Below are 16,909 nucleotides of genomic sequence, written 5' to 3' on the forward strand. Positions count from 1 at the left end.
GGTGACCATGATGAGCCCCCTTTGTCCTGTGCACAGCCACTCACTTCCCTCCCCTCATTCTCAAACCCAGTGACGAGCATCCGCCCCTCACCCCAGGCACTGCCCCAGTCACCTCCCCACCTTCTGAACCCCAACACTGTTTCCTCCTTTGGAAGACCTATTATTTATTTATTTATTTATTTATTATTTATTTATTTATTTATTTATTTATTTATTTTTGAGACGGAGTCTTGCTCTGTCGCCCAGGCTGGAATGCAGTAGCGTGATCTCGACTCACTGCAACCTCTGCCTCCTGGGTTCAAGCGATTCTTCTGCCTCAGCCTCCCTAGTAGCTGGGATTACAGGCGCCTGCCACCACACCCAGCTAATTTTTATATTTTTCGTAGAGACGGCGTTTCACCATATTGGCCAGGCTGGTCTCGAACTCCTGACCTTGTGATCCACCCGCCTTGGCCTCCCAAAGTCCTGGGATTACAGGCATGAGCCACCGTGCCCGGCCTTGGAAGACTCTTGGCCCCCGACTGCTGGGTAGTTTTGAGGGAAGAGGCCACCTCAGCCCAACAGAACTCCGAGCCCCTCAGCGGCACCCACACAGTCCCATCGAAGCAGGTCTAATACAGTGGGGTTTGAACCTTCTTTAAAGAAGAGAACATTTCAGCCGGGTGCGGTGGCTCACGCCTGTAATCCCAGCACTTTGGGAGGCCGAGGCGGGCGGATCATGAGGTCAGGAGATCGAGACCATCCTGGCTAACACAATGAAACCCCGTCTCTACTAAAAATACAAAAAAATTAGGCAGGCACGGTGGCGGGCGCCTGTAGTCCCAGCTACTCGGGAGGCTGAGGCAGGAGAATGGCGTGAACCCGGGAGGCGGAGCTTGCAGTGAGCCGAGATCACGCCACTGCACTCCAGCCCGGGTGACAGAGCCAGACTCCGTCTCAAAAAAAAAAAAAAAAGAAGAGAACATTTCTCCTGCAATCTTGCACAGAAGCCCAGAGTGTGAAACAAATCAAAGGAAGTCACTTGGAGAGAGGCGCCCCTACCCCAAACAACCACAGACAAAGGGATGTGTTGCCACCGCCCAGACAATCTACTGGGGCCGAGGCGTGCGCTCCTTCAGGCTCCATGGCCACCGTGCTCGGTGTCACCAGCCCCATCTTACAAATGTGGAAACTGGGGACCTAAGAGAGTAATATCCACCCACAACTGAACAGCTAGTGGGAGGCAGGGCCAGGATCCATCCCCAGACTGGAATCTGGCTGACCCCAAGAGCCGGTGCTTCCTGTAGCATAATCCCATGTAACAGCTGGCAAACTTTCTGCAAGGGGCCAGGCAGGAAATATTTGATCTCTGTGGGCCACACAAACTACACACACAGCTTTGCCACGGCAGCCTGAAAGCAGCCGTAGACAACGTGGAAATGAACGAGCATGACTCTGTCTCAATAAAACTTTCTTTCTAAAAGCAGGCATCAGGCAGGATTGGGTCTCAGGGCTGTGGTTGCCAATCCCTGCTCTATAACATCCAGGACTGGCTGCGGAGGGGAGCTGAGATCTAGGACACACTGGCAATAGCAGAACCTCGAAAGCCTGAGGCTTGTTCGTGCCAAAAACAAAAGCCACAGCCAGAACCCCAGCTGCAGGTGGGCAGGGCAGCTCCCTCTTGAAGGGCTGCGTGTGAGGACATGAATGAATTCACGAAAGCACTTCGCCCAGCCAGCTGCCCCATAAGTGTTCTCTATTATCATCCACAAAGAGCTCCTTGCGGAGGCCCCCGACAAAAGGAATCGCTGATGATCGGAGGCCCCCGACAAAAGGAATCGCTGATGATCGTGTCTGTAACAGGAGGGAGCTTCCCTGCTCAGTCTCCAAACCCCTTCCTCGGTGAATACTCCAAGATTCTAAAATAAAACACCCCACGTTTGCATTTTAACGTGGTCTGGAGCTTGAGGACAAAACCTACACATATAACCTGGAAGGATCAGGTTCTCAGTGAGCCCTGGAGAGGCAGAAGTCTCGGAGGAGAGGGGGTTGGAGGGAGAGGAGGAAAGGAGGAGAGAACGGAGGGAAGGAGGAGAGGGAAGGAGGGAGAAGAGGGAGGGAGGAGTAAGTTGGGGGAGAAGAGGGAGGGAGGAGGAAGAGGAGGAAGGGAGGGAAGGAGGAGAGAGGAGAGGAGGGAGAAGAGGAAGGGAGGAGGGAGAAGAGGGAGAGAGGAGGAAGAGGAGGAAGGGAAGGAAGAGAGGAGGGAGAGGAAGGGAGGAGGAGAGAGGGGACGAAGGAGAGGAGGAAGGGAGGGAGGAGACAGGGGAGAAGGAAGAGGAGGGAGGGAAGGAGGACAGAGGGAGGGAAGGGGAGAGGGAAGGAGGGAGAAAAGGAGGGAGGAGGAAAGACAGGGCAGGAAGAGGAAGAGAGGAGGAGGAGGGAGCAGACAAGGCAGAGGGAGAAGGAGGAGGAAGGGAAGGAGGAGGAAGGCGAGAGGGAGGAGGAAGGGAGGGAGAGGGGAGGGCAGGCAGGGAGGAGAGAGACACCCCAGCCCCTCTCACATCCCCAGGGCCTGCCAAGCCTCAGCAGCAGAGGTGGCCAAACAGGAGGGAAAGCTCTCAGGAGGATGAAGCCAATGCTGGGGATTAAAAACCAAATGCCAGCCCTGCCCCAGACAAGGAGCTCATTTGTGCTAAGGCCAGAATTGTTATTTGTTAATTATGTGCCTGCCTCGGGCTATTAAAAGCCTATTTCCTGAGCCTGGGATTCCAGAAGGAAGGGAGCAGATCCCAGGGACCCAGGCCCGTCCCAAGGCTTCAGAAGGATGGAGCCTGTGCAGGAAGACCTCCCCACTTCCGGGGAGGCTTCGTGCTCCGGGTCACCAGGCCCTGACCCCCGCTCTGCGGCCATGCACTGTCCTCGCAGTGGGGGCAGAGCCACGCAGACCAGACCACAGAACCCAGGCCCCTGGAGCTGGATTTCCACATGGGTTACATAGGCGGGTGCTGGCATGGCGAGGTTGGACAGGCTTTGAGACCCGGCTCTGGGCCCTCCTAGCTCCAGGACAGCGGTTCCCATCGCGGCTGCCCATTGAGATCACCTGGGAAGTTAACATCACCTATCCAGGGCCTCAGCCCAGGCTGATTCAAGGCTCTGTGAGAAGTGCCAGGATTTTGAAAAACTCCCAGGTGACTTTAACAGCCAGGGATGGGAACCCCTGAGCTAGGGCCACTGTGGGAACAGGTGGCTTTACTCTTGCAGCCTCAGTTTCCCTGGCTGTAAAACTGTTATGACACCAGCCTTGCAGGAAGTGCCAGGTGTGGGGTGTGGGGCTGCCAAGTGTGGGGAGAAATGACCCTCGGGGAGCCAGCTGGCCGGGGCCTAGGGGGTCCTGAGCTGGGGGTGCCGTGCCGCCTCTCCGCTGAGACCACTACTTCCAAAGCATCCGGAGCCAGGCTCTGGGCTGAGCCTGCCATTTGCACTCCTGCATTCAACCCTCACACCATCCCTCAGGGAGAACACTAGGATCACGCCCATGCTACAAAGGAGAACACTGAGCTTTGGAGAAGGGAGGTAACGTGCTGGTAATACACAGAGCCTGGGGAGCAGGGCTGGGGCTTGACGTGGCTCCAGGCCCCACTGCCCTCACCATTGCTGGGATCCGCAGCCCTGATCCTTCAAAAGCCCTGAGCCAGGCAAGCCCGTGCCCGAGACGCTACATCCAGGCTCTGTGGAGGATGCCCAGGTCCCTGGGGTCAGGGCACCATTCCCTGTGCCAGCTCTTGGTGAACTCCCGGCCGCCCAGAGGTCACCGCAGACACCCGCTGGAGACAGGAGCAAGCGTGGGCATCACGGCTCACGTGCGCCCTCTACTAGTTCTTTTTCATTTCATTTAAATTAATGAATTGATTTTTTGAGACAGGGTCTCTCTCTGTGGCTCAGGTTCACTGCAGCCTGGACTTCCCTGGCTCAAGCGATTCTCCCATCTTGGCCTCCCAAAGTGCTGGGTGAAACTACAGGCACTCTCCACCACACCTGGCTAAGTTTTAAACTTTTTTGTAGAGACAGGGCCTCATTATATTGGTCTTGAACTCCTAGGCTCAAACGATCCTCCTGCCTTGGCCTCCCAAAGTCCTGGGGTTACAGGTATAAGCCACCCCATACGGCCTGATTCTTTTAAAAACAGCGTTTGGGCTTGCACCCCAGACGTTTCACTTGGAGGCCCTGAATGGGACCACGCCCTCTTCCCCAAGGCACCATCACACACACACAGGGCTCCAGCCTGTCGGACCCACGATGCGATGGACGGCCAGACGGCCCACCTGGGCTACGGTCCACCTGGGCAGTGGCTCCCCCTCTTTGGGCCTCTGCTTCCTCACCTGCAGAACTGGGGTAAATAACAGTGCCCAGGTCCGGGTGGGCAGGCATGAGAGGTTAAGGACCACACTTGAGTCCTCACTCCAGCCAATGCGGTGCGATGATTCTATATGCGTTTTGTGGATGAGAAAACTCCAGTGCTGGCCTCGCTGTGCACACGTAATAAACACAAGCTGTCATTCAGATCACGAGTTGATGCTAAGCTTAGATCCACATCACGTGATTTGAACTGCAGGTGTAAGTGTCCTCAGGGCACTTATTCATTGATTCCTTCAACATTCAGCACCTACTGGGTGCCAACGGCTACTGTTCCAGCCCCGAGTGTGGGTCGGGGGACTTGTCGCCCCCTTGCGGTCACGCAGCTGGAGTGGGTGCTACACAAAATATTCCTGGTTCCAGCCTGACTCTTGGGGCACAATTTTCCCTTATTCTATGGGAATGGCCAGGGGCTTGGGAAGGAGGACATCCTCCATCTGAATCTCACTTCTGCTTCCTGCTGTGACACTGCCTCTCGGCCTGGGCTTTCTCACCTGCAGAGCCAGCTTATGTCACCCTCCTTTGCAGCACAGGTGTAACACCCCAGCTCTGAGCCTGGGCCAGGGAGGTGGCCAGTCAACAGGCATTTATTGTGCACCTGCTGTGTGCCCTGCATGGCCCCAGGTGCTGCAGACACTGCTGCGGAAAGAACGGCCTCTACAGAGGTTTATCTGTGCCTTTCCCCTACACCTCCTGTCCAGGCTCCAGTAGCAGGAATCAGGTCCCCAAGATTTCAGGGTCAACTGGAGAAAAAGCAGGAGGGTCCCCAGTGATTCAAGCTATCACTGGGAGGGGCCCACGATGCTGAGCTTTGAGAACAGTGCTTGTGGGAGGCTGGACTGTGTGAGTGCCTCTGGGCACTGATCGTTTGATCCTCCCAGTGAGGCAGCCCCCATCTTCCAGACGGGCACACTGAGGCACAGAGAAGTCAGGGCACAGCCTGTTTGCGCACAGCCTGTGATCTGGGGGCTGGAAGCACAAAGATATTTCCAAGATCCTGGGTCAGTTCAAGCAGGGACTAGGGGCAGATGATAAGCCCACTCACAGTACCAAGAAGCAGGGTTTAGGGGAGACTGGGAATTGGAAAAGGCTTTTCAGAAGGGGTCAATCAGAAAGCGGCAGGAGAGATTCCCGAGGCACCCACAGCACACACAAAGGCCCTGAGGCAGGAACAGAGGGGCCACAGGCCACAGCACACACAAAGGCCCTGAGGCAGGAACATAGGGGCCACAGGCCACAGCACACACAAAGGCCCTGAGGCAGGAACAGAGGGGCCACAGGCCACAGCACACGCAAAGGCCCTGAGGCAGGAACAGAGGGGCCACAGGGGCTGAGCGGGGTGACACTAATCCCTCAGAGATGACCGGGTGTCTGGATTTAGTGCAGGTCTTTCAAAAGCAAACTGATAAATTCCTCCAAGGGTTCCAGATGCGTTTAATCTTTTTTTTTTTTTTTAATTCCAATTACAGGGAAAGCTTTGTGTTATTATGGATGAGGCTGGGGTAGCTCTTGGCGGTTTTACCTTTTCGAGGCATCCCAGGCCCGATAGAGACAGCAGTGGATGTTTTAAATCTCTTTTTAATTAAGGAAAAAGCCCTAGCTTGCGTCAGGGATGAGCTGCTGGAGAGAGACAACCTGAGAGGAGCTAGAGACAGGAGCTTCGACACACCAAGGTGGGGGAAGGTGCCCAGCCGCCTGGCTCTGCCCAGCCAAACCACATTCCTGCCCTGGGCACTGACTGCACTTCCTCCCTCCTGGGCAGCCCTCCCAGTTCCCGTGGTCTGTTCCTGCTCATCCTAGCACTGGGCGCTCTGGGAAGGCTGTGGAGGGTGTAGGTACAGTGTGGTGAGCCCAGATTCCAAAGGCCAGGTCCAGGGTCGGGCACAGTGACTCATGCCTGTAATTCCAGCACTTTGGAAGGACAAGGACAAAGGATTGCTTGAGCCCAGCAATTCTGTTCAAGACAGGCCTGGACAACATAGCAAGACCCCATCTCTAAAAAAATTTTTTTTTAAATTAGCCAGATGTGGTGATGTGCACCTGTAGTCCCAGCTACCTGGGAGGCTGAGAAGGGAGGATTGCTTGAGCCCAGGAGTTTAAGGTTACAGTGAGCTGCAATCACACCACGGCACCCCAGCCTGGGCAAGAGAGATCCTGCCTCAAAAAAAAAAAAAAAAAAAAGCGGTTGGGGGTGGCGCTGGGCGTGGCGGCTCATGCTTGTAATCCCAGCACTTTGGGAGGCCGAGGCGGGTGGATCACTTGAGGGCAGGAGTTCGATACCAGCCTGGCCAACATGGTGAAAACTCATCTCTACTAAAAATACAAAAAGAATTAGCCAGCCGTGGTGGTGGGCACCTGTAATCCCAGCTACTTGGGAGGCTGAGGCACGAGAATCACTTGAACCCAGGAGGCAGAGGTTGCAGTGAACCAAGATCGCGCCACTGCACCCTAGCCTAGGCAATAAGAGCAAAACTCTGTCTCCAAAGAAAAGAAAAAAATGAAGCCCAGGTCCAGCCCTTGCTCCATCACTTCCCAGCAGTGTCCCCTCCTCCAGCCTTCAATCTACTCATCCCTAAAATGGAAACAAGAGCAGGACAACCATGAGAACAAAAAAAAAAGCCACGTACTTGGCACCCTGCCTGGCCACGGAAACACTCGTGTGTGACCCAGGGTCCCCTAGCCTTGGCGCTGCTAACACTTTGGTCATTCTCTGCGGTGGGGCTGTCCTGTGTGTCAGGCAATGTTTAGCAGTGTCCCTGGCCTCTAGACCCTGTAGCACCCCCAGCTTCTATGACCAAAAATACTTCCAGACATTGCCAACTGTCCCTGGAGGGCAGGGTCACCAGGTAAAATGCGGGCCTTCCATCGCATTTGAATCTCAGGTTAACAAATAGTTTTTTTAGTAGAGGCATGTCCCATGCAATGCTTGGGACATGCTTCTACTTGACAGTATTCCTTATCTGAAATTCATATATAACTGGGCATCCTGTTTTTATGTTATTTTCCTCCTCAATCTGGCAGCTCTACATGGGGCTGTCGGGGGAGCAGGCCCGTCACCCACGGTCTTCAAAGACAGGGGTAATTGTCATTCACTGCAACAATAACTGGGCATTTCAGGGCTGGCGCTGGCACTCCTGGCATGGAGCTGCTGGCTTCCTCTGTCCCCATGTGGTCCCAGTGCCTGGGGCTACACGGAGGGGCTCCAGGATGGCCCAAGCCAGAGGAACCCAAGCCCCCAGTCTGCCCTTGACCTGCTGTGTGGTCTGAACAAGTTTCTTACCCTCTCTGTCACCTACTGCAAAGGGGGTTATCAGCGCTAACAATTGCTACACACAGTTAGCCTTCTCATTGGAATAGAGATTCTAACCTTTTTTTTTTTTTTTTTTTTTTTTTTAAAGAAATGGTGGTCTTGCTATGTTGCCAGGTGGAACTCAAACTTCTGGGCTCACGCGGTCTTGCTGCCTTGGCCTGCTAACTCCTGCGCTCAGGTGATCTTCCTGCTTGGGCCCCCTAAGTAAGCTGGGATTCTAGGTGTGAGCCACTGTGCCCAGCTCTGACTGTAACTTTTGCCCTAGATAATAACCTGTATACTGCAGTGCTGTCATAAGGATGCATGGTACTAAGAGGAAGGTGTCGAATGGCAGGCACTTAGTCAGGCCATATAATTAGCACCATTATTACTGCTTTGGAAGGAGTAGTATAAGCAGGCCGATTCCAGTTAGTACCAGAGAAAGGTGGTGAACGTTGCTACTTGAGCGAACTGGGAGTATCCCAGGGGAACATGGGCCCTGTGGGCAGCTGAAGCTGGGAAAGGCCGCAGCCAGAGAGCGGAGCAGACTGAAGGCTGGGCTGGATTTGCAGCTCCAGGTAGGAGCAACATTCAGGAGCGGAAGCGGCACCAAGCACTGTCACTCCCAGCTCAGGTCCAGCCACTCTGCAAGGTGAGCTCTCCGGGGAGTCCTGGCTCCCGCTGAGTGGGCCCAGGGCCCCAGGACTGCCTTGCTCTGCTCGCTCCCTGATCAGGGACCAGGACTTTCCTGGACTCCGACAGCAGCAACATGCTTTGGGACCCGGCCTATGTTGCCCAGGCAACCTCAGCGAATCTTACAGAGGGGCTCACTGCTGACGGGAAAGCCCCGGCCCAGGGCCCCAGGAGCTGCTGGCCCCAGTGTTGAGAAGAGACAAGTGCAGTGACAGGTCCCTCAGCACGTTCTATGAACGCCTATGTGCACCAGGCGCCACGGTGCCAGTGCCTTCACAGGACTTGGCTCCTGAAATGATCTAAACAGCCCCTGGTGTTATCCCGCCCAGCTCATCCTGGAAGACACGGAGGCGAAAAGAGGTTGAGCCACTTGCCCAAGATCACACAGCTAATTTCAGGCTCATGCCTGAAATCCCAGCACTTTGGGAGGCTGAGGCAAGTAGGTCACCTGAGGTCAGGAATTGAAGACCAGCCTGGCAAACATGATGAAACCCTGTTTCTACTAAAAACACAAAAAATTAGCCAGGTGTGGTGGTGCATGCCTGTAATCCCAGCTACTTGGGAGGCTGAGGCAGGAGAATCACTTGAACCCAGGAGGTGGAGGCTGCAGTGAGCTGAGATCGCACCACTGTACTCCAGCCTGGGCAACAGAGCAAGACTCCATCTCAAAAAAAAAAAAAAAAAAAAAGGCCAGGTGCAGTGGCACATGCCTGTAATCCCAGCACTTTGGGAGGCCGAGGAAGGAGGACAACTTGAGGCCAGCCAGGCATTTGAAGCCAGCCTGGGCAACATAGCAAGATCCCATCTGTACTAAAAAAAAAAAAAAAGTTAAATGCTTCCTGTTAAAAACAGAGGAAGCATGAACTTCTCCTGAGGTACCATTTTTCACCCAACAGATTGGCAAAAACGGGAAAGCTGTTAACGCTATGGCCACGGTCATCTCCCATGGGGTGAGTGGAAGGGGCTGCTGGTGTGACTTCAGGGGGTTCACTGGCAAAGCTGTCAAAATGTGAAGGGTACACACCCTCCAACCATCTAGAATGTTCCACCCTAGGCCACCTTCTGAGTGGATGGTAGAAGGATATTTACTGAAGTCCTGCTTGGGCAAGGCAGGCCGGATTTGGGTTCGAGGGTGGTGGGGCGTGCACGTAGCCGTGCTGTGCAGCTGTGGGAAAGGGTGGGCAGTACTGTGGGGCTGACAGGAGCCATCCCTGGTGTGTGCTGTTGGGTGACAAAAACAGGGCACAAGAGCAGGCTGCCCCTGCCCAGACACACATCTGCTCTCTGGAAACCAGGCCCCTGGGAGGGCAGCCGCGATGCCCTGGCCCAGGATAACTAGGCTGGTCTGCTCCCGTGCCCGGCCATGTCCAGCAGCTGGTAATTGGTCAACACTGCCCTAACTTCCTTCGATTTTTTTTTTCTTTTTTTTCAGAGACAGGGTCTCACTCTGTTGCCCAGGCTGGAATGCAGTGGCACCGGGCTACGTTTATTTTGTAGAAATGGGGTCTCACTAATATTGCCCAGGCTGGTCTCAAGCAATCCTCCTGCCTTGGCCTCCCAAAGTGCTGGGATTACAAGTGTGTGCCACTGCACCTGGCCCGCTCTGACTTCCGAGTCTTGAGCAACACAAAGCCAGGGAGACCCCCGGTGGGACCGTGAGTCCCAGCACCTCCCCATCCCTCTGTCTCCCTGGAGGCTCATTCCTCACCTTTGTCCATCCCACAGATACTTCTAGAGCACGTGGTGCAGGCCAGGCCCTAAGGAAACTGCAGGGAACGAGGGGGAGGCTCTGTCTGGACTCTGGACTTGCTGGGTTGGGTTGTGTTCCTGAGGCCCCTAGGGATCCAGCTCGGCCATACTCTGGCTGGGTGACCTCAGGTGGGAGCTTTACCACCTGACACCTCAGCTTCTGTATCTACAGTGGGGACAGTGGACAGCACGGAAGCCTTGCTGTGCGGATGAAAGGAGATGGAGGGAAAGAGCTGAACCTGCCTGGTGAGGTGTGAGCTTTGGGAGCGCTGAGCTCCCTGTGGGATGATGGGAATGACGGGGATGACGGGGATGATGGGAATCATGGGGATGACGAGGATAATGGGGATGACAGGGCAGCCACCCCGGCCGGCGGGAGGGTCAGTCCGAGGAGGGTCTCCATATGGTGCCTAAGGCTGAGAGCACATTCATTCTGCAAACATTTGTTGCGTGGTCTGTGTGTGCCAAGTCTTGGGCCAGGTGCCAGGGCTACAGGGATCAAAAAGACAGCGTGGTTCCTGACCTCACGGATCCAGGAGTGTGAGGAGGAGAACATCCTTGGGAACTATCACCCGAATACTAACACAGAGTGCTGGGGTGTAGACCAGCCAGGCTGACCTTCCCAGGCACGGCTGGAAATGGCGCTTCGTCTCCCACCTGCTGGCCTCCCTCCTTTCGGAGGATATCAGGTGCCGGAGGTTTAGCTTAAGCATGGGTGACTGATGGGGGGGGGACCGGCTAAGTCCCTGCTGTAAGCCAGGAGGGGTGCCCGCTCTGCCCTGGGCAGGGGGCGGGGCGAGATCAGACGCCATCTGCTCCCTCGTTTAAAACAGGCTTTGATGATCCACCCCACTGCCCTGAGCCGAAGGGAGGCTGGAGTGGGGTGTCTCTCAGGAGCTCCTGCCTCCTGGGCAGAGATCTGTTCAGAAGGTTCCAGAAAGAGCCCTGGAATTGAGCCTGCACACCTGGGTTCCCAGCCAGGCTGACTTGCTCCTTGTTAACTTGGGCAGCCAGTCCCCACCGCAGCCCCATCTGGAAGGCAAGGACATTGGCTGTCAGCCTGGACCACCCAGGGGAATCACCTAGGAGGCCTCCTAGAGCACCAGTGCCTGGGACCCATCCACACCAATCTCATCCCAACCTCTGGGGAATGGGCAGTGGCTGCATCCATTTGGAAGCCTTCCAGAAGATTCTGATGTGGGTGGAGGTTTAGACTCCTGGGCTAGAATGATTCCAGTGCTTTGTATTTCTTCTTTTTTGAGACAGGGTCTTGCTCTGTTGCCAGGCTGGAGTGCAGTGGTTTTGGCAATTTGGCAAAATTTGGCAATTTTGGCTCACTGCAACTTCCATCTCCTGGGCTCAAGCAATCCTCACACCTCAGCCTCCTGAGTAGCTGGCACTACAGGCGCATGCTACCACACCCAACTAATGTTTCTATTCTTTGTAGAGATGGGGTTTCACCACGTTGCCCAGACTGGTCTCAAACTCCTGACCTCAAGCAATCTGCCCACCTTGGCTTTCCGAAGTGCTGGCCTGTATTACCGCACCTGGCCTGTATTACTCTGAAGTTCTCAATCCACACCTCAGCTTCTATCACCTGCTGGCCCCAGGGACCTCAGCTCCTCCAGCTCAGCCCGGCCTCCATACCTGCCTCCTCGCTGCTCACCAGCTCAGTGTGCTTGGTCCTGACTCAGGGCCTTTGCATTTGCTGTTCCTTCTGCCTGGAACACTGTTCCCTGCATCCACATGGCTAACTCCAGTGTCGGCACCACAGAGAACCCCTCACCTTGCCTCATCCCCTCGACTGCACCTCCTTGCTCAATTCCCTTCACAGCACTCACCACGAAATCCAGCCTGCTGGGTGTGTGTTTGTTCACACACACCATTCCACATTTCCGTCTCTCCCCCATGGACAGGAGCTCTGTGCTGCTCACTGCTGCATCCCGAGGGCTGAGTGTGCTGCCTGGCATGCAGCAGGTACTCAGTACATGTTTGTGTGGAGTTGCCCGGGACACACTCTCCTCTGGGCTCTGTCCCGCACTGGAAGGGAACCAGCACCATGGAACAGCGACTGTGCGTTGGCTCCTGTTCGCAGCTTGGGTGTGGAGGTCAGCAGAGTAGACAAAGACCCCTGGAACATGGCGGTGGCAATGGCAGGCAGTGGGTGAGGACCTCCCCCAGGATCCCCGCAGGCAGGAGCCTGAGCCCATTTTACAGACAGGGACAGGAAAGCTCAGGGAAGTGGGGTGCTTGACCTTGGCTATTTTCTAACTCCTGGTTCAGCGGGGACTGGATTCCACCATGTGATCTCCCTTCAAATGTATGAAATTTCCAGTTTGTTCTGAACACTGCTGAAATGTATTAGTGGAATGAACGTTTTTCTCACCCTCCCATTTCACAGAGCTCCTGTCCCCAGGGATGGAAACTCCACATTCCCTGCCTGGCTCCACCTGGCTGCTACCATCCTCTCCGGCGTTGTGGCCCCTCCAGTTCCTCCACCATGCACGCCAGGCTGCTGCTTGCTTCCCAGCCCGTGCCCATGAGTTTCTGCTACCGGAAACAGCCACCCCTTCCCCGCTCTGTGCCAGGCCAGCTCTTTAGGCTGGGGTGCTTCCTGGGTGATGCCACCCCTAGCCACCCCGGGTAGGCAGGTGCTAGCTTCCATCCAGCACTGAGTTAGCATTAAGGTCACTCCTCACCTCTGTACACTCCCAGTGGCCAGGACCACACTGCCTTGTTCATCCCTGTAGCCCCGGCACCTGGGCCAGCGCCCAGTGCACGGTAGGGACGCAATAAACGTTTGTGGAGGGAACAATCTCTCACGCAATTCTGGCCTGCAGCTGTCCGCCAGCAGAGCCAGGCATTCACACTGTCACGGGGCCATATGGAGGGATTCTGGGTTTTGGGTTGACCAGGGGCTAGACGCAAGCCTCTGAAGGCAAATCAGAAAAATGGGTATCATAACGGCCAACCACCAATCAACCCCAGGCTGAGCCCCCCGAGCGAGGGAGTCACAGCCATGCCTGGCAGCCTGGGGTCCCCACAAAAACGAGGAGTGTCTGAGAAACTGTCACAGCCAAGAGCCTAAGGAGGTATGACAACTAAATATCATGTGGGATCCTGCGACAGAAAAAATACATGGGGGAAATCGGAATCACGTGGACATTCATTAATAATAACAGATCTGGCCGGGTGCGGTGGCTCACGCCTGTAATCCCAGCACTTTGGCAGGTTGAGGCAGGAGGATAGCTTGAGCCCAGGAGTTCAAGACCAACCTGCGCAACATGGTAAAACTTCCATCTCTACTAAAAATGCAAAAAAAATAAGCCGGGTGTGGTGCCTCTTGCCTGTAGTCCTAGCTACTTGGGAGGCTGAGGTGGGAGAATCGCTTGATCCCAGGAGGTGGAGGTTGCAGTGAGCTGAGGTTGTGCCGCTGCACTCCAGCCTGGGCAACAGAGCCAGGCCCTGTTTCAAAAAAACAAAAAGTGTGGATATTAGTTAATAAGAATGGATCTGGCCGGGTGCGGTGGCTCATGCCTGAAATCCTAGCACCTTGGGAGGTCCAGGCTTGAAGCCAAGACTTTAAGACTAGCCCGAGCAACAAAGCGAGACCCCTTCTCTACAAAAAAAAAAAAAAAAAAAAAAAAATTAGCTGGGCGTGGTGTTGTACACCTATACTCCAGCTGCTTGGGAGGCTGAGGCAGGAGAACCACTTGAGCCCCAGAGATCAAGGCTGCAGTGACTTGTGATGGTACCACTGCACTCCAGCCTGAGCAACAGAGGGAGAGTGAGATCCTGTCTCAAAAATATAAATAAATAAGCACAGAAATAAATAAAACACTAATAAATAAATAACAATGGATTTGTATTGATTGGTTTGCTGTAACGAGTGGACCGTGTGAGTGTAAGTTGTTCATAACAGCGGAATCTGGTGTGGGGTGTGTGGGAACTCTCTGTACTATCTTTTCAATTTTTCTGTAAATTAAAACTGTCCTAAAAAATAAAGTCTAATTAAAAAAACAATGACAAACTACCAACCCAGGACAAAGCCTTCATCTTTCCCACCAAGCCCCAGGCAGCCCCAAGGGACCTTCCCCAGGACAGTTGCTGGGACCAGTCTCATTCCCAGGAGCCTGTATCCATGGTGACACTGGAGTTAACCCAGGCTGGAGCTGACGCCCACCCCGCCCCCACAGAACCTCACAGATCACAGGGGTCCTCCCAGGTAGCCCTAACGCCCCAGCCAGCCACTCTAGTGGGAAAGCCCATGCCTGCAGTTTAAGTCTTCCTGCAGAGGCCCCCGCACACCTGCAGCCACCTCCATAGCAGGAAGGTGTAACGGCTCCTTGGGTGCCATCTTTAGTGCCTATCTCAGAAAACTCTCGAGACCTGACCCAGGAGATCTTCCCAGTCACCACTCCATTTTACAGACACAGAAACTGAGGCCTGGGCACGGGAAGTGACTTGCACAACGTTGCAGTCAGTCAGAGGCAGACCCAGAATATGAACTCGGATCTCTGACCCCAGAGCCACTTTGCCAGTGGTCCTCAAAGTTACACAGCCACTGGAATCCCCCCGGAGGATGTGTTGAAAACCCTGAGTTCCTGACTCAGTTGATCCAGTGGGTCCTGAGAATCTGATGGTCTGACTGGTTCCTAAGTGATGCCTATACAGAAGGTCCCGGACCCCACTGAGAACCATGCAGCAGGACCATGCCATTTCCTTGGCTGTGCCGCCCTGCTGGAACCTGGAGAGGGCGCACTTAGGAACCAAGGAGACGACTCCCCCTTTCCCCTTCCGTCTGTGGAGCCAACCCCTCCTAACTGGCCATGTGGCCTTGAGCCAGTGAGAGGTCCCCTGTGCCTCAGCCTCCCTGTCTGTAGAGTTCAGCAGTGATGAGGGTGCCATGCCCAGATCCTGTTGATGCCAGCACGTGCCAACCCTTATAGGGTGAGGCACGAGGGAGATTTTCTTTGGCCTGTGGGACACTCCCGTGGGTCACAGTCACCATGGCCAGGCCCTTGAGCAGAGGGACTCTGCAGCCCCTTTCCTTTGGACTCGGAAACAAAGGGGTGTTGGCACAGCTGTGTTCCTCCTATGCCACCCTCTCAATATCTACCACCCTTGGGCAGAGTCTTTGTTGCCAGACAGGAGAAGCACATTCCTGCCCCCCACAGGGGAAGCTCAGAGGTGAACTGACTTAATGGGGGCTGAATAGTGTCCCCCAAATTCACATCAACCCAGAACCTCAGAATATGACCTTATTTGGAAATGAGGTCTTTGCCGATGTAATTAGTTAAGGATCTCATGATGAGCTCATCCTGGATTTGGGGGCGGAGGGGCTCTAAATCCAATGCCTGGTGTCCTTACAAGAGGAGGAGAGGGAGGTTGAATGCAGGGCAACATGAAGAGAGGAAGGCCACGTGAAGACAGAGGCAGAGACTGGACCCAGGAGGCCTGAAGCTATCAGAAGCTGGAAGAGGCAGGAAGGTTCCTCCTTTGGCGCTGAGGAGGGAGGGCGGCCCTGCCAGGGCCGATTTCAGAACAATGAGAGAATAAAAATTGCTGTTTTAAGCCCCCCAGCGTGGTCATTTGTCACAGCAGCCACCGGACAGTCACGCACGGTAGAGATGGAAGCCAGCCCAGCAGTGGGCAGATCCCATCCCAGCCAGCCAAGTCGGGTGCCATCGACACAAAGCCAGCCCAATAGGGAAGGGGCCTGTGTCTTCCTGGGCAGTTACACAGCCTCAGAGCCCCTGGGGGAGCTGAGGAAGGAGGAGGTGGCGAGGGCTGGGGCTGTGGCTGGTCAGAGCGGGTGAGATGAAGCCCGCAGGGAAGAACGTCATACCCACTGTGACCCTCACACTCTGCTGAGTGGGTTCAGCCCATGCCTCCCGTAACCACGCCTCCAAAGGGAATAAGAACGGGTCTCGGAGCTGCCTCCCTAGAGGAGCCCATGTCTCATTTCTAGTTGGTGTGACTGTAGCTGGTCACTTCCTCTCCTTGGTCCTCAACTTCCCTATCTGTAATGTAAGGCTTTGCAAGATGAGTGCCAAGGTGCCTCCCGGCTCAGAAAGCCTACTTTGGTTCTAGAGGGAGAGATTCCCAGACTGGAGGGGAAGGGAAAGGAGGGCAGCAAACTAAATCCCCCAGACCAGGCAAGTGAACCCCCACATCAGCCGAGGGAACCCCCAGACCAGCCACTGAACCCCCACATCAGCCAACTGAACCCCCAGACCACACAACTAAACCCCCAGACCAGCCAACTAAACCCCCAAGACCAGCCAAGTAACCCCAGTCCAGCCAACTGAACCCCCAGATTAGCCAATTAACCCCCATACAAGACAGGTAAACCCTCTTAGACCAGCCAACCAAGCCCCCAAGACCAGCCAAGTAAAGCCTCCAGCCCAGCCAAGTAACTCCCAGACCAGACAACTTAAACCCCATAGATCAGCCAACTAACCAACTCCCCCATACGAGACAACCCCCCAAGACCAGACAACAAAATCCCCCAAACCACAAACCTAAATCCCCTAGACAACTGAACCCCCCCAGATCAGCTGACTGAACCTCCCAGACCAGTGAACTGGACCCCACTCATTAAAATGATGTTTGGAATATACTGAATTAAATAAAACATATTAAAAGTAATCGTACCCGTTTCTTTGTACCTTATTCATGGGACTGCTAGAAACGTCAAAATCTATTTCTACTGGATGGTGTGGCTCTAGATAGTATGTCCTTGAGCAGAGTCCTGTCTTTATGATTCTTCAAGTCCTCTCCAGA

The 16,909-nt window shown here is 54.7% G+C and overlaps 1 protein-coding gene across 4 annotated transcripts in view, besides 1 other annotated feature; it reads right to left on the reverse strand.

Moving 5' to 3' along the window:
- C16orf74 (chromosome 16 open reading frame 74) overlaps positions 1-16,909 on the reverse strand; it is a 43,580-nt gene that overhangs the window by 6,702 nt on the left and 19,969 nt on the right. The gene's annotated exons all lie outside the window — the stretch shown is intronic.
- Positions 14,567-15,434: an enhancer, noted in NCBI's record as "H3K27ac-H3K4me1 hESC enhancer chr16:85762391-85763258 (GRCh37/hg19 assembly coordinates)". NCBI's record gives its function as "activates a minimal SCP1, AML or CMV promoter by ChIP-STARR-seq in primed H9 embryonic stem cells {active_cell/tissue: H9 hESC(primed)}" and the evidence as "EXISTENCE:reporter gene assay evidence [ECO:0000049][PMID:30033119]".

Source organism: Homo sapiens, chromosome 16, assembly GCF_000001405.40.
Source record: "Homo sapiens chromosome 16, GRCh38.p14 Primary Assembly".
In the NCBI taxonomy this organism is placed as follows: domain Eukaryota; kingdom Metazoa; phylum Chordata; class Mammalia; order Primates; family Hominidae; genus Homo; species Homo sapiens.